General features: G+C 43.9%; 1 protein-coding gene and 1 pseudogene across 57 annotated transcripts in view, besides 4 other annotated features; one reads left to right on the top strand and one right to left on the bottom strand.

Moving 5' to 3' along the window:
- GAPVD1 (GTPase activating protein and VPS9 domains 1) overlaps positions 1 to 20,411 on the bottom strand; it is a 105,382-nt gene extending 84,971 nt beyond the window's left edge. For 23 of the 57 annotated variants that reach the window (NR_148733.2, XM_047423177.1, NM_001354301.2 and 20 more), the window contains exons 1-2: positions 20,278 to 20,411; positions 13,253 to 13,301 (exon numbers count right to left, since the gene is read on the bottom strand). The gene's annotated coding sequence lies outside the window, so the exon portion shown is untranslated. Of the gene's footprint in view, positions 1 to 13,252; positions 13,302 to 18,536; positions 18,687 to 20,276 lie in introns of all 57 variants that reach the window. The other 34 variants (NR_148732.2, XM_047423182.1, XM_047423193.1 and 31 more) reach the window with 4 other exon arrangements.
- Positions 14,035 to 14,535: an enhancer, noted in NCBI's record as "H3K27ac hESC enhancer chr9:128029981-128030481 (GRCh37/hg19 assembly coordinates)". NCBI's record gives its function as "activates a minimal SCP1, AML or CMV promoter by ChIP-STARR-seq in naive H9 embryonic stem cells {active_cell/tissue: H9 hESC(naive)}" and the evidence as "EXISTENCE:reporter gene assay evidence [ECO:0000049][PMID:30033119]".
- RPS10P17 (ribosomal protein S10 pseudogene 17) lies at positions 18,136 to 18,701 on the top strand (annotated as a pseudogene).
- Positions 20,265 to 20,394: a silencer, noted in NCBI's record as "silent region_20276". NCBI's record gives its function as "represses an Ori minimal core promoter by ATAC-STARR-seq in GM12878 lymphoblastoid cells {active_cell/tissue: GM12878}" and the evidence as "EXISTENCE:reporter gene assay evidence [ECO:0000049][PMID:35858748]".
- Positions 20,265 to 20,514: a biological region, named in NCBI's record as "ReSE screen-validated silencer GRCh37_chr9:128024002-128024183".
- Positions 20,333 to 20,514: a silencer, noted in NCBI's record as "fragment chr9:128024002-128024183 (GRCh37/hg19 assembly coordinates)". NCBI's record gives its function as "represses an EF-1alpha promoter that drives an FKBP-Casp9 reporter gene in an ReSE screen in K562 erythroleukemia cells {active_cell/tissue: K562}" and the evidence as "EXISTENCE:reporter gene assay evidence [ECO:0000049][PMID:32094911]".

Here is a 22,257-nt window from a genome sequence, read left to right as displayed (position 1 = left end):
CGTGATCTCAGCTCACTGCAACCTCCGCCTCCTGGGTTCAAGTGATTCTCCTGCCTCAGCCTCCCGAGTAGCTGGGACTACAGGCATACGCCACTATGCCCAGCTAATTTTTGTATTTTTGGTAGAGACGGGGTTTCACCACGTTGGCCAGGATGGTCTCAATCTCTTGATCTTGTGATCCGCCCACCTTGGCGTTCCAAAGTGTTGGGATTACAGGCATGAGCCACTAAAATTAAAATTTTTTAAAAATTAGCCAGGTGTAGCGGCAGGTGCCTATTGTAATCCCAGCTACTTGGGAGGCTGAGGCAGAAGAATCGCTTGAACCAGCGAGGAGGCAGAGATTGCAGTGAGCCCAGATCCCACCACTGTATTCCAGCCTGGGTGACAGAGCGAGACTCCATCAAAAAAAAAAAGCCAATTATCTTTAAGAGCATTATGAGTAATATAGTGTGCTTCATCCACACACATACATTAATGTATCTAATTCAAGACAATCTAATTAAAAATTACACAATAACATCTAAATGTAATATAGTATGCTGAATGGGATCCTGAACAGAAAAAGGACACTAGGTAAAAACTGAGGAAATTGGAACAAAGTATGAACCTTATTTAATGATAATGTATCAATATTAGTTCACAATATTGTAACAAACTGTCATAATTGAAACAAATGTACTATGCTAATATAAGATGTTAATAATATGAAGAATTGATCTTGATGCTGTCTCTGTACCATCATCTCAATTTTTCTGTAAAGCTAAAATTGATCTAAAAAATAAACTCTAGGTTGGGCACAGTGGCTCCCACCTGTGATCCCAGCACTTTGGGAGGCTGAGGCAGGAGGACTGCTTGAGGTCAGGAGTTCATAACCAGCCTGAACAATATAGCAAGACTGTTCTCTACAAAAATAAAAAAAATTTAAGTCTACCTTTTAAATTAAACAAATAATATACTTCTAAATTCAAGTATCTGAGTTAGCAACTTTTTTCAGTAAAAAAAATTATACAAACTTGAGAGCAGTATTCGAACACTGTAATTATCACAATCTCTAACCACCACGGCCTAGAAAAGGGAACGGCTCCCATATGACATTCCAGAACCCATTAACATCTGTTAACACATTATGGTGTTTATCACACTAAAAATATTTTTTCTTTCAGTTCACTGTGATCACAAATGAAACACAGAAACTTCATGAAACAAAATTTCCATAGCTATATTACATTTGCACTAATTTCTGATCAATCGAAGCAAAGGAAATATATTTTCCAGCCAGAATAGTTTAAGAAAAGCTACTTTTTATATTGACTTCCACCTAATAGCAAATCTTTTTTTAGGTTATTAGAAGTAGTAACAGTTGGCTGGGCACGTTGACTCACGCCTGTAATCCCAGCACTTTGGAAGGCCGAGACAGGCGGATCACAAGGTCAGGAGATTGACACCATCCTGGCTAACACAGTGAAACCCCATCTCTACTAAAAATACAAAAAATTAGCTGGGCGTGGTGGCAGGCGCATGTAATCCCAGTCACTCGAGAGGCTGAGGTGGGAGAATGGCGTGAACCCAGGAGGCGGAGTTTGCAGTGAGCCAAGATTGCGCCACTGCACTCCAGTCTGGACAACACAGTGAGACTCTGACTCAAAAAAAAAAAAAAAAAAGTAGTAGTAACAGTTGAGCTTGAAGAGTTTTAACTGATCAGCAGTAAAGAATAAGGGTGCTTAGGAAATAAAAACAGTAATAACTACCACACATTTCAGGCCTGCCAGGTGCTAGACACCAACTACGGGCTTTTCATGGATGGTCTCATTTATTCTTTTTTTTTTTTTTTTTTTTTTTTGAGATGGACTTTTGCTCTTGTTGCCCAAGCTGGAGCGCAATGGCGCAATCTCGGCTCACCACAACCTCCGCCTCCTGGGTTCAAGCGATTCTCCTGCCTCAGCCTCCCAAGTAGCTGGGATTACAGGCATGCACCACCATGCCTGACTGATTTTGTATTTTTAGTGGAGACGGGGTTTCTCCATGTTGGTCAGGCTGGTCTTGAACTCCTGACCTCAGGTGAGCCACCCGCCTTGGAGTCCCAAAGTGCTGGGATTACAGGCGTGAGCCACTGTGCCCGGCTCTTCTCATTTATTCTATATAACATTCCTGAAATAGTTGTAATAACTATGTTTTGGCCAGCGCAGCGGCTCACGCCTGTAATCCCAGCACTTTGGGAGGCCGAGGTTGAGTGGATCACCTGACGTCGGGAGTTCAAGACCAGCCTGGCCAACATGGTGAAACCCCCATCTCTACTAAAAATACAAAAATGAGCCAGGCATGGTGGTGCGTACCTGTAATCCCAACTACTCAGGAGGCTGAGGCAGAAGAATCGCTTGAACTCAGGAAGCATAGGTTGCAGGGAGCCAAGATCTCGCCATTGTACTCCAGCCTGAACATCGCACCAAGACTCCGTATCAAAAAAAAAAAAAAGTCACTGAATAAATAATAGTTCAAATAGTAAGCACATTTGGGAAAAACCATGATGTTATCTGAAGATTATGTATGGGAAAGATTTTTATATACCGATGCCTACACTTTGGCAGAACTATTTTTTTTTATTGTGCACATACTTTTCCTCAGTGTTTTTTTTTTATTTTTGATTTTTAATTTTTTTTTTTTTTTTTGAGATGAAGTCTCACTCTGTCGCCTAGGCTGGAGTACAATGGCACGATCTCGGCTCACTGCAACCTCCGCCTCCTGGGTTCAAGTGATTCTCCTGTCTCAGCCTCCATAGTAGCTGGGATTACAGGCGTGTGCCACCACACCCAGATAATTTTTTTGTATTTTTGTAGAGACAGGGTTTCACCATTTGGCCAGGCTGTTCTCAAACTCCTGACCTCAAGTGATCCACCTGCCTCAGCTTCCCAAGGTGCTGCGATTACAGGCGTGAGCCATTGCGGCCGGCCTTCCTCATAGTATTTATGTAATATTCACATTAATGTAATAGGGCAAAAGAGTACATGACTGTCTTTTTTTTTTTTTTTTAAGATGGAGTCTTGTTCTGTCTCCCAGACGAGTGCAGTGGTGTGATCTCGGCTCACTGCAGCCTCTGCCTCCCAGGTTCCAGTGATTACCCTGCTTCAGCCTCTTGAGTAGCTGGGATTACAGGCACCCACCACCACACCTGGCTAATTTCTGTATTTTCAGTAGATACGGGGTTTCACCATATTGGCCAGGCTGGTCTCAAACTCCTGACCTCAGATGATCTGCCCTCCTGGGCCTCCCAAAGTGCTAGGATTACAGGCATGAGTCACTGTGCCCAGCCATGACTGCCATTTTTAAAATGACCTGCTATAATGTTATCCCTTGCATTTTATCAATCAAATAATTTTAATGTGAGTTTTGTTGTTTTTTTTTTTCCAGACAGCATCTTGCTCTGTCACCCAGGCTGGAGTACTGTGGCATGATAATGGCTCACTGCAGCCTTGATGTCCCAAGCTCAAGCAATCTTCCCACTTCAGCCTCCCAAGCAGCTGGGACTACAAGCATGTACTACCGCATCCAGCTAATGTTTGTATTTTGTGTAGAGATGAGGTTTCACCACATTGCCCAGACTGGTCTCGAACTCCTGAGCTCAAGCAATCTTTCTGCCTCGGCCTCCCAAAGTGCTGGGATTACAGGCATGAACCACCTTGCCTGGCCTAATGTGAACATTTTACTTATTTATTTGTTTTGAGATGGAGTCTCGCTCTGTCGCCCAGGCTGGAGGGTAGTGGCATGATCTTGGCTCACTGCAACCTCCGCCTCCCAGGTTCAAGTGATTCTCCTGCCTCAGCCTCCCGAGTACCTGGGATTACCAGCACCCACTACCACGTCCGGCTAATTTTTGTATTTTTAGTAGAGACAGGGTTTCACCATGTTGGCCAGACTGGTCTCCAACTCCTGGCCTCAGGTGATCCGCCGGACTAGGCCTCCCAAAGTGCTGGGATTACAGCCATAAGCCACCGCACCCAGCCTAATGTGAGCATTTTAAATTATCCACCACTTTTCAGGGACTTAACCAATCCATACAATAGATGAGTGTCTCTTGCAAATATTTTTTACAAATATCATGTTGAATCACGACGATTTATTTACATTTACTTCTCCTTACAGAACTTACTCCCTTCAGTGCAGGAGCAGTTTCTTGCTCATTTTATGTTTTGTGAAATTACATGATCTAAAAATTGTCAGGCATTAATAATATACTAAAATAATGGGTTCATTCTCGTTCCAAAAAATTGACAAGTTCAGGTACAGTGGCTCACGCTTATAATCCCAACACTTCGGGAGGCTGAGGCAGGAGGATCACTTGAGTACAGTAGTTCAAGACCAGCCTGGGCAACATAGTGAGACTCTGTTTCTATAAAAAAATTTAAAAATTAGCTGGGTGTGGCATGCACCTGAAGTCCCAGGTACTTGGGAGGCTGAGGTAGGAGGACTGCTTGAGCCTGGGAGGTCAAGGCTGCAGTAAGCTGTACTCCAGCCTAGGAGACAAAGCAAGACCCTGTCTCAAAAAAAAAAAAAAAACAGACAAGCATAGTATGCTTTACTTAACACACTTCCTTCACTCATTCATTCAACAGATGTTAATTATTAAATACCTCCTATGTGCTAAGCACTGATGAACAAGACAGGCAAGGTCTGATCTTGATGGAGGGCATATTACCTTAGGGATACTGAAGGATACACAATATATTAGGGATACATGACTTTCCAGTGACAATTTCTACTAGTTTTCACAAACTACACTTCTATACATTCTGTTTTTAGAGCCCTGTGTCCACTCCTTTCATTGGCCAGTTAAATCACACTTAGGTATCAGGGTGTAGCTCAAACCAAGTACAGTCCCTTGACTCAGATATTTCCTCATTTGGGTTCATCTCTCCCACAGCACTTTACATTGTCTGCAACAAAATGTTGTTTTTACAACAAAACTCCAAGTTCCCTGAAGTAAGGACATTGTCATGCCGGTATCCCCATTACTTAGCACAGTGACTGGCATTTAGCAGGTGCTGAATGAATGTTTGAATTTATAATTAATTTTAAAAATGACTGACTGATAAAGAGCAATGCTCCAATTAGGAATCAGTCAAGCTGCTACTTAGTTCCAAAATTATTAGAAAACATTATTAGAAAACTGTAATTAAGGCTGGGCATGGTAGCTCACACCTATAATCACAGCACTTTGGGAGGCCAAAGTGGGAGGATCGCCTGAGGCCAGGAATTCAAAAGACCAGCCTGGACAACATAGGGAGACTCCATATTTACGAAAAAAAAATTTAGAAAATTAGCTAGGCGTGGTGGCATGCACCTGTAGTCCTAGGTTCTCAGGAGGCTGATATGAGAACACTGCTTGAGCCCATGAGTTTGAGGCTGCTGTGAGCTATGATGGTCCCACTGCTCTTCATCTCAGGCAAGAGCGAGGCCCTGTCTCAAAACAAAACAAAAAAACCTGCAACTAAATTTAGTTGAAAATATCTTCTCACATTCCAATGAGCATATCTGAAATTTCTTTGTGTGTTTTGAGACAGGGTCTCACTCTGTTCTCCAGGCTAGAGTGCAATGGTGCACTCTCGGCTCACTGCAACCTCCGCCTCCCAGGCTCAAGCAATCCTCCTGCCTCAGCGTACTGAGTAGCTGGGACTACAGGCGTACACCATCACGCTCAGCTAATTTTTGTATTTTTTGTAGAGATGGGGTTTCACCATGTTGCTCAGGCTGGTCTCAAACTCCTGAGCTCAAGTGATCCGCCTGTGTAATCCCAAAGTGCTGGGATTACAGGTGTAACATTTTTATTAAAGACTGGAAAGATATTTCTTCAAAATTAGGCAGTAAATATTAAATGAGAAAAAATTTGAAACAAGTGACATTTTAGTATCTTTAGTCAGTATTATTTGGTTTTTCGTATGTTTTGTTTTGTTTTGAACTCTGGCCTACAGAATAGTTGGTATATTTGAAGCAAGAGTGAAACATTGTAGAAAAAAGAATGGGCTTACTACCAACTAACGCTGCCTGGCACAAGTACAAGGAATTGAAAGGCAAATTACTTTGAAAATACAGGTAATATAATGTCAGATAGTATTCACAGTTCAAATCAACACAACAGACTTCTTGTGACGACAACAGAATTCTGGAAGATGTCAAAAGTAAACGAAATCCAAACAGATTATTGATTTTACCCTCAATACACTAATTTTCCAGAGCTAAAGAAGACAGAATAACTACAAAAATAATTAAACTCATTCGTAATAAATGGTTTGTGGGTTAAGCTCGGATTTTATTATACAACTCAACTGAGACAATATCAATACACATGAATAGCTAATATGCATTACTTAGGAAATACTAATGTTCCATGACTATTCCAATTCAAAAACCTTGACTTTTTATATAACTTGAAATCATTACTAATGAAATTGGCAATGTTAAACAAGATTGTCTTTTTATTTTTTCTTTTGAGAAAGAGTCTCGCTCTGTCCCCCAGGCTAGAGTGCAGTGGCTAGATCACAGCTTACTGCAACCTCAACCTCCTCGGGTTCAGGTGATCGTCCTACCTCCTCAGCCTCCCACCGAGCAGCTGGGACTACACGTATGTGCCACCATGCCCAACTAACTCTTGTATTTTTTGCAGAAACAGGGTTTTGCCATGTTGGCCAGGCTGGCCTCAAACTCCTGGGCTCAAGCAATCCACCCACCTTGGTCTCCCAAAGTGCTGGGACTATAGGCCTGAGTCACCATGCCTGGCAACAAGATTAAGTTTGAAAGGCATTAAGTTAAATAAGTAATGGTACACTCAAACCATGTAGAAAGATGTCCATCAAAAAAATAAACAATTTAGGTTGGGTGTGGTGGCTTACGCCTGTAATCCCAGCATTTTGGGAGGCCCAGGTGGGTGGATCACCTGAGGTCAGGAGTTCAAGACCAGCCTGGCCAACATAGTGAAACCCCGTCTCTACTAAAAATATAAAAATTATCCGGGCATGGTGGCAGGCGCCTGTAATCCAAGGTACTTGGGAGGCTGAGGCAGAAGAATCACTTGAAGCCAGGAGGCAGAGGTTGCAGTGAGCCGAGATCACACTATTACACTCCAGCCTGGGTGACAAGATGTCTCAAAGAAAAATTTTTTTTAATTTAAAAATTGAAAAAAATTAAAACGAAAAACAGCAACAACAACAAAAAAGAAAGATGTCCATCAGACATCATTAAGCGAAAAGAGCAAACTGCAGAACAATATGCCTAAGATCCCGGAGGCAGTCTAGGAGTTAAACGCTGGAGCAAGAGTACCTGGGCTCAAGTCTCAGGTTTGCCACTCCCTAGCTGTGCAATCTTTGGCTAGTTACTTTACTTCTCTATGACTCAGTTTCTTCATCTGCAAACACATACACCAGAACCTACTTCATAGGGTATGTTCACAGGCTTTTGAAAGTTAAATGAATTAAAATGAATAAAGCGGCCAGGCACAGTGGCTCACGCCTATAATCCCAGCACTTTGGGAGGCCAAGGTGGGTGGATTACCTTAGGTTGGGGGTTCAAGACCAGCCTGACCAACACAGAGAAACCCGTCTCTACTAAAAATACAAAATTAGCCAGGCGTGGTGGTGCATGCCTGTAATCCCAGCTACTCGGGAGGCTGAGGCAGGAGAATCGCTTGAACCCGGGAGGCAGAGGTTGCAGTGAGCCGAGATTGCACCATTGCACTCCAGCCTGGGCAACAAGAGTGAAACTCCAACTCAAAAAAAAAAAAAAAAAGTACAAAGCGCTTATTATATATAATGTTAACTATAATTTTGGGGGAAAATAATTCAAATCAAATGGTAAGTGCATGCATATGTGAGAAAGAAAACCCTTCATTTTTTTTCCATTGTTTTTAGTTTTTTTTAAAAAAACAAAGAACAGGCCCAGGATAGTGGCTCACACCTGTAATCCCAACACTTTGAGAGGCCGAGGCCGGCAGATCACTTTAGGTCAGGAGTTCAAGACCAGGCTCGCCAACATGGTGAAACCCCGTCTCTACTAAAAATACAAAAATTAGCTGGACGTGGTGGCGTTAGCCTGTAATCACAGCTACTTGGGAGGCTGAGGCAGGAAAATCGCTTGAACCGGGGAGGCAGAGGTTGCAGTGAGCCAAGATTGCGCCACTGCACTCCAGCCTGGCCAAGTGCAGGCTCCTGAGCTCAAGTGACGGAGCACTACTCCATCTCAAGATAATAATAATAATAAATAAATAAAAATAAAAATAAAAAACAAAGAATATTTATTACTTTAGTAATTTTTTTTTAAAAAAAAGAAAAGAGCTCTCAGCCTTAGCGCCATTTTCTTGGAAACCTCTGTGCCATGACAGCCAAGTGGAGGAAGAAGTGAATACGCAAAAGAAGAAAGATAAGGCAGAGGTCCAAGAAAACCACTAGCTTGTTGCACCGTGGAGGCCACAGGAGCAGAAACATGGAATGCCAGATGCTGGGGATGCTGGTACAAGTTGTGGGACTGCATGCTACTGTCTAGAGCTTGTCTCAATGGATCTAGAACTTCATCGCCCTCTGATCACCGATCACCTGAGACCCACCTCGCTCATAACAAAAACTGCCCATGTTGGTCCTCTGCCCTGGACCTGTGACATTCTGCACTATTTCTGTGTTTCCTTGTGGCCAAGTATAACATCCATACAATAAATCACCTCTTCTGCAGTCTTAGCTGAAGAATTAAAAAAAAAAAAAAAGAAAAGAAAAACAATAAAAATTTGGCACCAAGCTCTTCCCTGCTGAAGACCTACTAGTGCAATTACTGAAACACTCAAGACAAGACAAATTCTGTAAAAATGAGAAAATTTTTAAGTGCCACAAAAAGGGCATAGTACTAAACTTCAAAATAAGACATAGTTCAACAATAACAAGCTGCACACTAATAAGCAGAACTGCAATGGCATTAAAATTATACCCCATTATTTCCCAGAGGAAGCAAATAACATAGAAGTATCCAACCAATCTAGAAATGGGTGCCTATCTGGAACTTTCACAATTAGATAAACCTCCATTAATTGTATGAGTGTGAAATTAAATACCACCAAATCTAATTTAACAATCTCTAATGACAACTCAGTAAGATATATATAAATCTGGAGATCAAGATAAACCAAGTAACTAAGAACAATCTGAAATCCTTAGAACACTGTAAACTTAGAGGAAGTTTTCACAACCCCCATGCTTTGAGGAAGCTTTGGTTCCCTGGATAAACTAAGCTGCTTCCATAAATACAGCGGGTACACAAAACAACCGAATGAAGGAGCAGAAAGAGAACTTTGAGCCTCAGCTGCATTTTTGCTGAGCTGTAATACTGGTAAAGCCTGTTTCAAGATCCAAGAGTCCACCCTCAAAATTAAAGAATGTAAACAGAGGGCTGTCATGTACATTTCATCACATTTACCAGAGTGGTGTTTCATAAAAAGTATACATATTCATTATCAAACTCCAAACAGCGTTACCATCATTACTGTGGTTCTACCCAAAAGAAACCTCCTAGTCAACAATATTATCCAGTTTGTTAAAATAGGTTTTCAAAAAGAAATCAATCATTAAGATGTCTCTATAGAATTATGGAATTCATAATTTCAAATAATGTGCATAATGCCTAAGAAAAAGAGAACGAATCCAATAAATGTCAGCTATTACCATTACTATTATCATGGTAATGTTTTCAAACTAAGGAACAGAAACTTATTCATAGAGAGGCCTTAATAAGAAGTTACTTTGTCAGAATCCAAGTTGGCCTATCACAACCTGCAATAGTTAGATATTAAAAGGACTTTGTTTTAGAGGAATCAAAGTTAGATTCCTCGGGTTCCAAAGGAGTTAGTAAAGATGAAATCATCTCTGCATAAAGAATTAATGTATTTTTGGCTGGGCGCGGAGGTTCACGCCTGTAATCCCAGCACTTTGGGAGGCCGAGGCGGGTGGATCACGAGGTCAGGAGTTCAAGACCAGCCTGGCCAAGATGGTGAAACCCCTTCTCTATTAAAAATACAGAAATTAGCCAGGCAGGGTGGCAGGCGCCTGTAATCCCAGCTACTCAGGTGGCTGAGGCAGGAGAATCGCTTGAACTCAGGCAGCAGAGGTTGAAGTGAGCCGAGATCATGCCACTGCACTTCAGCCTGGGAGACAGAGTGAAACTCCATCTCAAAAAAAAAGAATTAATGTAGTTTTTCCAAAGTTTTTCTGGTACAGAAATCTATATTTTTAAACATTTGGCAATTCAGCCTTAAATGTTATAACTTTTAGACCTAATGCATTTTTGTAAAGTAGCCAAGATAATGGAAGTAAGTAAATATAAATAACACAAGTAAAACAAAGGGATAGATTAGAATTCTGCATTAGAAAGTGAAAGGAGGGCCAGGTGCGGTGGGTAAGCCCAGCACTCGAGGCAGGTGGATCACTTGAGGTCAGGAGTTCAAGACTAGCACGGCTAACACGGTGAAACAACGTCTCTACTAAAAATACAAAAATTAGCCAGGTGTGGTGGTGGGTGCCTGTAATCCCAGCTACTCGGGAGGCTGAGGCAGGAGAATCGCTTGAACCCGGGAGGCAGAGGTTGCAGTGAGCCAAGATCAGGTCACTGGACTCCAGCCTGGGCAAGAGAGCAAGAGTCTGTCTCAAAAAATAAAAAATAAAAAAATAAGTTAATCTAAGTCCGAAAAATATAAGTATTTGTTAAAATTAAGATTGGCAGGATATTACTACACTCTGATCCTAGGAAAAAGGAAAAAGACTAATATGCCTTGACTAATTTTGTTTTGTCTTTTTTCTGATAGAAAAACCACGTGGGTTTAATCCTTCCAAAGATTCACAGAAAATAAATAACAACACATAAGTTGGTAAGGAAAAAAAAAAGAACTAAACACGTCTGACAACATGCTTTCTACTAGTCTCCAGCGTGGGTGTACCGGCATTATAAGGGAGCAAGACCAAGCAAGCACCTTTTCGGACAGACATCTTAGATTAACAAGCAGACACAGTATCTGTTTATACACTTCCAAGAGTATGTTTAAAGCCTGTATTTTTTAAATGGCTTACAAAAAAAGGTATACAAAAACATAATTTTGGCCACACACACACACAAAGAGTATTAGAATTAAATTATACTTTTATACTTTTCTTTCAGACACAAGCATTTATCAGGTATCTGGTTCATCTTCAAACTCAAAAAAAAAAATTTATAGAAACCCCTATGTAGTCTGTTAAGTCCTTCACTCAACCATTCTTTTTTATTTTTTGAGATGGAGTTTCGCTCTTGTTGCCCAGGCTGGAGTGCAATGGCACGATCTCGGCTCATCGCAACCTCTGCCTCCCACTCCCAGGTTCAAGCGATTCTCCTGCCTCAGCCTCCTGAGTAGCTGGGATTACAGGCATGTGCCACTACACCTGGCTAATTTTGTACTTTTACCAGAAACGGGGTTTCTCCATGTTGGTCACGCTGGTCTCAAACTCCTGACCTCAGGTGATCCACCCGCCTCAGCCTCCCAAAGTGCTGGGATTACAGGCGTGAGCCACTGCGCCCGGCCTCAACCATTCACTTATATATATATTAAATATTAGAAACTGAAGTATCAAGATATTCACCACTTCCTCTGACCACTGTATTAGAGTTTTAAACTGGGTTTCAGCTTTGAAACAAAAAATAACCACCCTTCTGAAATTTTTTACAAAATCATAATACATATTGAAACATATCCAGAAAAGTTAGAAAATATAGGTAAGCATAAAGAAGGAAAGATTCTTTTGTTTTTGTTTTTTTGAGACAGACTCTAGCTCTGTCACCCAGGCTGGAGTGCAGGGGCACAATCTCAGCTCACTGCAAACTCTGCCTCCCAGGTTCAAGCAATTCTCCTGCCTCAGCCTCCCAAGTAGCTGGGACTACAGGTGTGCGCCACCACACCCAGCTAATTTTTGTATTTTTAGTAGAGACGGGGTTTCTCCATGTTGGCCAGGCTGGACTCAAACTCCTGACCTCAAGTGATTCGCCCACCTCGGCCTCCCAAAGTGCTAGGATTACAGGCATGAGCCACCATGCCTGGCCAGCAGTAAAGTTTAACTGACTATAATCTTAGTTACCAGAAATCAAACAGCTAGGTGCCTAAAACTTATTCTAAAATGTGTATACAGTAAAAAAAATTATTGGTCCTAGTTCCTTTACAAATTAAAACATCTGCCCAAGCATGGTGGCTTGCACCTATCCCAGCACTTCCAGAGGCCAAGGCGGGCAGATCACTTGAGAGTAGGAGTTCAAGACCAGCCTGGCCAACATGGTAAAACCCCGTCTCTACTAAAAATAAAAAAAATTAGCTGGACATGGTGGCAGCCACCTGTAATCCCAGCTACCAGGGAGGCTGAGGCAGGAGAATCACTTGAACCTGGAAGGCAGAGGTTGCAGTAAGCAGAGATCATGCCACTGTACTCCAGCCTGGGCAACAGAGTGAGACTCTGCCTCCAAAAAAAAAAAAAAAAAAAAAAAAGCCAGGCATGGTAGCTCATGCCTGTAATCCCAGCACAGCGGGTGGATCACCAGAGGTCACGAGTTCAAGACCAGCCTAGCCAACATGGTGAAACCTTGTCTCTACTAAAAATATAAAAAATGAGCAGGGCATGGTAGCACCTGTAATCCCAGCTACTCGGGAGGCTGCACTCCAGCCTGGGCGACAGAACGAGACTCCAACTCAAAAAAAAAACAAGAACAAAAACTAAAATATCCTGAAAACGATTACTTAAGGAGTTAAAGTTGAAAATAATTCTATGCAAGCACAAGTTTAGGTAGTTCAAGTGTAAAAAATACATAACTGAAATCCTTCTTGCTTAACAGAAAATTAACTCCAGAGAAGGAAATATGTATGACAAAAAAACAGCCTCCCAAAAGTTGAAGGAAAAAAAAACACTCAACTAAACATTTGAAAATTATTTTTTCAAGTACTAGTCTGTCCAAAGCAAATAAGAAGGACTCAGCTGGGCAAAGTAGCATGCTCCTGTATTCCCAGCTACTCAGGAGGCTGAGGCAGGAGGATCGCCCTGTTCAGGCCAGGAGTTTGAGGCTTCAGTGAGCTATGATGGCACCACTGCACTCTGATGACAGAGTGAGAATATGTCTCAAAAAAAAAGGATTCCACTTACATAAAACTTAAAAATTTGTAGCTGTAGGCAAACTTAAAAAAATTATTTTAAAAAAATATTTTTAAATCATACTTTACCTTTGAGATTCCTAGAATGTATAACCAACTCTCTCCAGTACACTTACCCCTAAAGAAAAAAAAAAGGAAAAAGGAAAAAATAATAAACTGAATGTCTTATCACTGGAATGTACCTACTTTCGCTATTAAACTACCTACAAACATTACAAGTAGCTGGGCGCAGTGGTTCATGCCTGTAATCCCAGTACTTTGGGAGGCCGAGGCAGATGAACTACTTGAACTCAGGAGTTTGAGACCAGTGTGGGCACCTCTACAAAAACTACAAAACTTGTATTTAAAACTCGTCTGGTCAAACAAAAATAAAATACAAAATACAAGTTAGCCAAGCATGGTGTCATGTGCCTGTGGTCCCAGCTACTCAGAAGGCTGAGGCAGGGGAATCTCTTGAGACAGGGAGGTGGAGGCTGCAGTGAGCTGTGATAGCGTTACTGCACTCCAGCCTGCATGACAGACCAAGACCTTGTCTCGAAAAAAAAAAAAAAAAAAAAACAATGTTAGGGGTAATTATTCCAAATAAACTAATGAAACTGAAGCATACATTTACAGAGCAGCAACTTTTGTATTGTTAGTTGCACCAACAAAAGATCAGTACATATTGTCACAATTTCCAGAACGCCATGATCAGGTAGTGTTACCATGTAAGGTAATAAGAACTATGTGCCATCACTGGAGACCAGCTCACAAACCCTCAGTGGAGCCAGCTGCGTAAAGTGAGAAGTGACAACATTGTGACGGTGGCTAAGAAAGCACCAGTAGAATAAAGTTCTTGGTTTTTTTTTGGGGGGGGGGGTTGTTTGTTTGTTTGTTGTTGTTTTTTTTTGAGACAGAGTTTTGTTCTTGTTGCTCAAGCTGGAGTGCAGTGGCGTGATCTCGGCTCACTACAACCCCAGCCTCCTGGGTTCAAGCGATTCTCCTGCCTCAGCCTCCTGAGTAGCTGGGATTACAGGCGCGAGCCACCACGCCCAGCTAATTTTTTGTATTTTTAGTAGAGATGGGATTTCATCATGTCGGCCAGGCTGGTCTCAAACTCCTGACCTCAGGTGATCCACCCGCCTCGGTCTCCCAAAATGCAGGGATCACAGGTGTGAGCCACTGTGCCTGGCCGAATAAAGTTTATTTTAAATTCTAGCAGCTAGGCATAGTGGCTCACGCCTGTAATCCCAAAGCTTTGGGAGGTCAAGGTGGGAGGATTGCTTGAGCCCAGGAGTTTGAGACCAGCCTGAGGAACATAGGGAGATCCTGTCTTCCCAATAAAAAAAAAATTCTTTTTTTAATTGGTCAGGCATGGTAGCTCACCCCTGTAATCCCAGCACTTTGGGAGGCCGAAGCGGGCAGTTCACCTGAGGTCAGGAGTTCAAGACCAGCCTGATCAACATGGTGAAACCCCGTCTCTACTAAAAATACAAAATTAGCTGGGCATGGTGGCACATGCCTGTAATCCCAGCTACTCGCGAGGCTGAGGCAGGAGAATCAGAAGGCAGAAACTGCGATGAGCTGAGATTGTGCCATTGTACTCCAGCCTGGGCAACAAGAGTGAAACTCCATCTCAAAAAATAAAAAACTAAAATTAATTAACCGGGTGTGGTAGCACATCCCAACCTACTCAGGAGACTGAAGTGGGAGGACAGCTTGAGCCCAGGAGGTCGAGACTGCAATGATCCCTGATAGCGCAACTGAACTCCAACCTAGACAACAGAGCAAGACCTTGCCTCAAAATTCAAATTCCTAGGCTCAAGTAATCTGACCGTCTCGGATTCCCAAAGTAAAATGTGCATCTTCTATGTGTAAAGTAAACATGGCAAAATGTTAACAGCAAATCTAGGTGAAGGGTATATGAATGTTTACTGAACAACCCTTCTGTAGGCTTACAATTTTTCAAAGAGTTGCAAAAACAATATTTAGAAGTTATGGATTACAAAAAAACAAAGCCTGCCGGGTACAGTGGCTCATGCCTGTAATCCCAGCCCTTTGGGGAGGCCGAGGCAGGCGGATCACAGGAGTTCAAGACCAGGCTTGCCAACATGGTGAAACCCCATCTCCACTAAAAATACAAAAAATTAGCCAGGTGTGGTGGCACGTGCCCATAGTACCAGTTACTCAGGAGGCTGAGGCAGGAGAATCTCTTGAACCCAGGAGGGGGAAGTTGCAGTGACTTGAGATGGCGCCACTGCACTCCAGCCTGGACCACAGAGCAAGACTCTGTCTCAAAAAACAAACAAAAAGAAAAAAACAAAACGAACAGCAGAAAATAGGGAAAGATACAAATAATAATTTAGCACGTATATTCTGCCTCCCAGAATTAGCTGTTGTCACAGTAGTGTCTAGTCTCAAAAAAAAAGTATAGATATCCTCAAAAGAAATTATAGATAACGGGCTGCGCGCGGTGGCTCACGCCTGTAATCCCAGCACTTTGGGAGGCCGAGGCAGGTGGATCACAAGGTCAGGAGATCAAGACCATCCTGGATAACATGGTGAAACCCCGTCTCTACTGAAAATACAAAAAATTAGCTGGGCATGGTGGCGGGCGCCTGTAGTCCCAGCTACTTGGGAGGCTGAGGCAGGAGAATGGCGTGAACTCGGGAGGCAGAGCTTGCAGTGAGCCAAGATCACGCCACTGCACTCCAGCCTGGGCGACAGAGCGAGACTCCGTCTAAAAAAAAAAAAATAAAATAAAATAAAATAAAATAAAAATTAGCCGGGCATAGTGGTGCATGCCTATAATCCCAGCTGCTCGGGAAGCTGAGGCAGGAGAAATGCTGGAACCCGGGAGACGGAGATTGCAGTGAGCCGAGATCGCGCATTTGCACTCCAGCCTGGGCAACAAGAGCAAAACTCCACCTCAAAAAAAAAAAAAAAATTATAGATATCATCCCCTTTGCCACTACCTCCCATTCATAATCCCTTATAGACGTGAAATTATAGAGTACGCCTATCTTCAACTTTACTAAGGGCTGCAAATACTGTCTTCAAAAGCAGCTATACCAGTTTACACTCAACCAACAGTTTTTTTTTCCTCCTCCTAACAGTAACCGGTAGCAGTTTCTTTTTTTTTTTTTTTTTATAAATTTTTTCTTTTTTAATAGAGACAGGGGTCTCACTTTGAGGCCCAGGCTGGTCTTGAACTCCCGGGTTCAAGGACTCAAGTGGCCCTCAAACTCCAAAAGTGCTAAAATTATAGGCATGAGCTACCACGCCTGGCCAGTAGTTTCAAAATTACCATTTTTGCCACATCTTCACCAACATTTGATATCGTCAGACATGAAATTTTTTTTTTGGCCGGGCGCGGTGGCTCACACTTGTAATCCCAGCACTATGGGAGGCCGAGGTGGGCAGATCACGAGGTCAGGAGTTCAAGACCAGCCTGGCCAATATGGTGAAACCCCGTCTCTACAAAAAAATACAAAAATTAGCCAGCCATCGTGGCACCCGCCTGTAGTCCCAGCCCAGGAGGGAGACTGAGGCAGGAGAATCGCTGGAACCCGGGAGGCAGAGGTTTCAGTGAGCCAAGATTACACCACTGCACTCCAGCCTGGGAGACAAGTAAGACTCCCTCTCAGAAAGAAGAACAGAAAAAGAAACAATGCCAGGTGTGGTGGTGCCGACCTATAGTCCTAGCTACTTGGTAAGGCTGAGGCAGGAGGATCACTCAAGTCCAGGAGTTCAAGTCCAGCCTGGGCAATGCAGCAAGACCTTGTTTCAAAAAAAAAGAAGGAAGAAGAAAGAAGGAAGAAGAATGAAGAGAAATAAAACAACCTAGGATCACACAGTAAAAGGTAAAAGAACCTCAGCAAAACAAGAACTTCACTTACAGACTTTCCCTTTTATTACCTCATACAAAATGATGAATAATCAAACCTATATGGCAGCATGTACTAAGAATGATTAGTCCCCATATGAAACCAAATGCTCACAAAAGCACAACATAGTGCTGGGAAATAATTTTTTGTCTTTTAAAAAATGTAAGATGGCCAGGCGCGGTGGCTCACGCCAATAATCCTAGCACTCTGGGGGGCCAAGGCGGGCAGATCACTTAAGGTCAGGAGGTTCGAGGCCAGCCTGACCAACATGGTGAAACCCCGTTTCTACTAAAAATACAAAAATTAGCCAGGCATGGTGGCAGCACCTGTAGTCCCAGCTACCTGGGAGGCTGAGGCAGGAGAATGGCATGAACCCGGTAGGCAGAGCTTGCAGTGAGCTGAGATCGCGCCACTGCACTCCAGCCTGGGCGACAGCCTGAGACTCCATCTCAGAAAAAAAAAAAAAAAATCCACCTCCATGATTTAAAGAAAACCAGCAAACAGTAAAATTTCTTTTCTCAGGCTTACATTAGAGCTTACAGAGCTGCAATCCCTTGGAAGTGGGGAGGTGCCTTAATACAAAAATTTAAAGGCCAACATATTCACTTTTCTTTCTTCTTCCGATTATTTTGTTCATTCCCCATTACCCTGAATGAAATATCTATGGTCTATTCTTTCAAAATGACTACTCTGGGCAGGACGCGGTGGCTCACATCAGTAATCCCAGCACTTTGGGAGTCCGAGGCAGGCAGATCACCTGAGGTCAGGACTTTGAGACCAGCCTGACCAACATGGTGAAACCTTGCCTCTACTAAAAATATAAAAATTATCCAGGCGTGGTGGCTGGTGTCTGTAGTCCCAGCTACTCAGGAAGCTGAGGCACAAGAATCGCTTGAACCCAGGAAGCTGAGGTCGCAGTGAGCGGAGATCATGCCACTGCACTCCAGCCTAGGCAACAGAGCCAGACTCCGTCTCAAAACAAAACAAAACAAAAGACTACCCTGATCCCATCCAAATTTTTTATCTCCCTGATTATGAAATTCTCTTTCGTCTACACTGTCATCCTGTCTGCCTTCAATGATTCAAATGTTCTTCTAAAGAACCAGATTGCCATTTATGAACTCCTTTTTAAGGAGGGAGTCATGGTGGCCAAGAAGGATGTCCACATGCCTAAGCACCCAGAGCTGGCAGACAAGAACGTGCCCAACCTTCATGTCATGAAGGCCATGCAGTCTCTCAAGTCTCAAGGCTACATGAAGGAACAGTTTGCCTGGAGACATTTCTACTGGTACCTTACCAATGAGGGTATCCAGTATCTCCGGGATTACCTTCATCTGCCCCCCGGAGACTGTACCTGCTACCCTACGCCATAGCTGTCCAGAGACCGGCAGGCCTCAGCCTAAAGGTCTGGAGGGTGAGTGACCTGCGAGACTCACAAGAGGGGAAGCTGACAGACATACCTACAGATGGAGTGCTGACAGACATACCTACAGATGGAGTGCTGTGCCACTTAGTGCCGACAAGAAAGCTGAGGCTGGGGCTGGGTCAGCAGCCAAATTCCAGTTGAGACGGATTTGGTCGTGGACGTGGTCAGCCACCTCAGTAAAATTGGAGAGGATTCTTTTGCATTGAATAAACTTACAACCAAAAAAAAAAAAACAACAGTTCTTCTAAGTAGACTTATAAATCCAAAAAACCTTATTTCTATTTCAGGAGTTTTTTTGTTTTGTTTTGTTTTTTGAGACGGAGTCTCGCTCTGTTGCCAGGCTGGAGTGCAGTGGCGTGATCTTGGCTCACTGCAATATCCACCTCCCGGGCTCAAGTGATTCTCTTGCCTCAGCCTCCCAAGTAGCTGGGATTACAGGCATGGGCCACCACACCCAACTAATTTTTGTATTTTTAGTAGAGATGGGGTTTCACCATGTTGGCCAGGATGGTCTCGATCTCTTGACCTCAATGATCCGCCCGCCTCGGCCTCCCAAATTATTTCAGGAGTTCTTAATCTTTTTGTGCACGGACCTCATTGGCAGTTTGGTGAAGCCTATGGTCCCTTTCTCAGATTTCTTTTAAGTGCATAATTAAATACATGTGATTACAAGGGAAACCAATTATATGGAAATATTAGCAAAACAACAAACTAATATGGTCATAATATATGTACAGCCTTATTATCACATTAAATAACAATGTCTAACGGCGGGTCTAGTAACACCAGAAATTCAAAGAAGTGTTAACCATAAATGATATTCTGAGCTATCTGCAACTGTAAACATGATGCAAAAATATCCGTAATTTTTATTGATCACAAAGTCATAGGCGCTGCTAATGCTACTCTGGCTTGTTGTCCACATTCGTAACTGAAGGAAATAATAAGTTTCAGTTAGCAGTCAATAAAAATAATGATGTCATTTTATCCTCCTTCTAGTGAAAGGACCCTTCTAATTCTATCCATCAATGAACTCCAGTTTAAAACCCCTCTCTAGTTCAAAGTCCTGCTCAGAACTGATTTTCGTCATAAATTTAAAAATAAAAACACTGATTCCTCCTTTGACCTAGTTCTCATCTGAACCTATCACTATGTCTCCCTGTTTTTATGCACATTTATACACAGAACCCTGGGTGTACTTCTGTGGTTTGCCTAGCCAGCACTCACTACAATTTTGCCAGTCAATAAAAGGTGAAGTTAAAAGAAAAGGGATGGAAACAACCAACAGCTCCCTCACTTTCAGACCTCCGACAGCAAGTGGAAAGATGCCAAGTACAGTGAGTGTCTGTGTTAGGTGGGCTGCCCCCAGACCCGTGTGTCCAGCTTGTCAAGCTTCCCTGCAGCACGATATCTTTATCAGCGACACTCAGAAGACATTCCATTTCGTTCTCGCCTCCTATACTCAGTTCCCTACCTGCCGGGCCTCTCGTCTCTGGCCCCCACCCGAGGCCGCCCCGCGGTCCTCCTGTCCCTTCCCATCCCATCCCCCACGCGTCTCTCCCTCTCCTCAGCCCCAGGCCGCCCTGGCTCCTGCGCGCCGCCACATCTCTCCCCTGGGTCTAACCCAGTGTCCCCCGACCCCCACCTCGCCCGACACTGACGGGAAGAGCCCAGGACCCCGGGGTCAGTTGGACCTGACGGCCGGGCAGTCAGAGACAGGCTGCGGCCCTAGGCCGGAGCAACCCGGCCGCGAGGCAGGGAGCCGCTCACAGCCCGCGGACTAAATCGGGACGCGTACTCACCAAGGGGGTCATGCGGGGGAGGACACGGAGGACTCTGTCGGACCGCCACTCGGCCTCGGAGCCGTCGCCCTAGCCGGTGACTGCCCCCGCCGCCGCTGCCGCCACCTTCGCCACTCGCCTGTTGGCTTCCCTGCGTCCTGCAGCGGCGCTGCCGCCACGCCAGCGCGCGTGCGCAGCGCCGCGGGGGCCTCTGGGAGCTGTAGTTCCGCCCGGGCGGCTAGGGGCTCCCACTTCCGCCTTAGGCAGCCCTAGGTCAGCTGCCCCCTGAGGCTGTCGTGGGTGTCCGGGTCCGGAATCGTCTTCCGGAAGGCTGTTCACCAGGCCTGGGCCCTGGTTTCCGCCTGCAGTAATGCTGGACGTGAAGAATCCGACTGAGCAAGTATGTGTAAAGCAAAAATGTAGAGCGTTTTATGCTTTCTGTGACAACGCTCAGTTGCCCAGGACACATTATTCGCATGAATGACTCTCTCTCTTCTCTGTTTCTCTCTCACACGTACGCACACACTACTTACAAACCTCCCTTCCCTTTTTTTTTTTTTTTCGAGACGGAGTCTGGCTCTGTCGCCCAGGCTGGAGTGCAGTGGCTCAATCTCGGCTCACTGCAAGCTCCGCCTCCCGGGTTCACGCCATTCTCCCGCCTCAGCCTCCCAAGTAGCTGGAACTACAAGCGCCCGCCACCACGCCCGGCTAATTTTTTGATTTTTAGTAGAGACGAGGTTTCACCGTGTTAGCCAGGATGGTCTCGATCTCCTGACCTCGTGATCCGCCCGCCTCGGCCTCCCAAAGTGCTGGGATTACAGGCGTGAGCCACCGCTGCCGGCCCCTCCCTTCCCTTTTGTTCTAAGTGCCATTAATTGGTTTGGATGGTATCTGGATTTTCAGTGTAAAACCTGCCTTCCCACTTCTCAGTTTCTAAAATCTTGCTTATCATAAACTTCACCATGCAGTTATTTTAGGTAAGTCAATAAATGAACTGTCTAATAATTTTTGTAACACCATAACTCATATATTCAGAGGTCAAGTTAGCTGAGTTGAACAGTCTAGAAACCTTAAAATTGGAAGATACCTGCTTAAAGGTCACTAGTGCAACTGTTGCCCAGGCAGGAATTCCCTCCTGTACATTCAGCCAGATGGTCATCTTCCTGTTCAACAGTTCAAATTTCAGGGAGCTCACTCCCTCAAGTAATGCAGCCTGCTCCACTGTTGGACAGCTCTAAATGTTAGAAAGTTCTGCCTCCTGCTGAGCTGAAATCTGTTTCCCTTTATTTCCTTCCATTGCTGGTAGTTAGGCTGCCTGGAGCAATACAGAATGTCTTCCACTTGACAGATCTTCAAAAAATTGAGAACAATGATTATATCCTCCAATACTGGGAGTCTCCAGGCAAAAAAAGGAAAAAAGTAATAATCATTTCCCCAGCTATTTCAAATGTCAATCAACTCCCAAACTGCTTTCTATCTACTCACCTCTCTTGATGTCACCTTTAGGGGCATGGTGGCATATGCCTATAATCCTAGCACTTTGCGAGGCCAAGGCAGGAGGATTGCTTGAGCCCAGAAGTTCAAGACCAGCCTGAGCAACATAGTGAAACCCCAACTCTACAAAAAATACAAAAATCAGCGAGGCATGGTGGCTTGCACCTGTAGTCCCAGCTACTAGGGAGGCTGAAGTGGGAGGATCACCAAGCCCAAAAAGGTCAAGGCTGCAGTGAGCTGTGATCATGCCACTGAACTCCATCCTGGGCAGCAGAGTGAAACCTGTCTCAAAACAAAACAGCAACAACAACATTGACAGAATTGCTTCATATTTATTGCCTTGTTTTATGACTACATAGGTAGTAATAGAACCACCTATGGTAGGCTGGTCAGATGTTATTGCTATCGTGCTGCCATTCAACTCATTCAGGAATTCAATCAGCTCTGTTACAAGACATTACTCAATGCACCGCTGGCATGAAATAAGCAAGAGGAGGCCGGGCGCAG

Source organism: Homo sapiens, chromosome 9 (genome assembly GCF_000001405.40).
Source record: "Homo sapiens chromosome 9, GRCh38.p14 Primary Assembly".
Classification (NCBI taxonomy): domain Eukaryota; kingdom Metazoa; phylum Chordata; class Mammalia; order Primates; family Hominidae; genus Homo; species Homo sapiens.
Note: the sequence above shows the minus strand (reverse complement) of the source record. Positions and strands in the feature narration are given on the sequence as shown.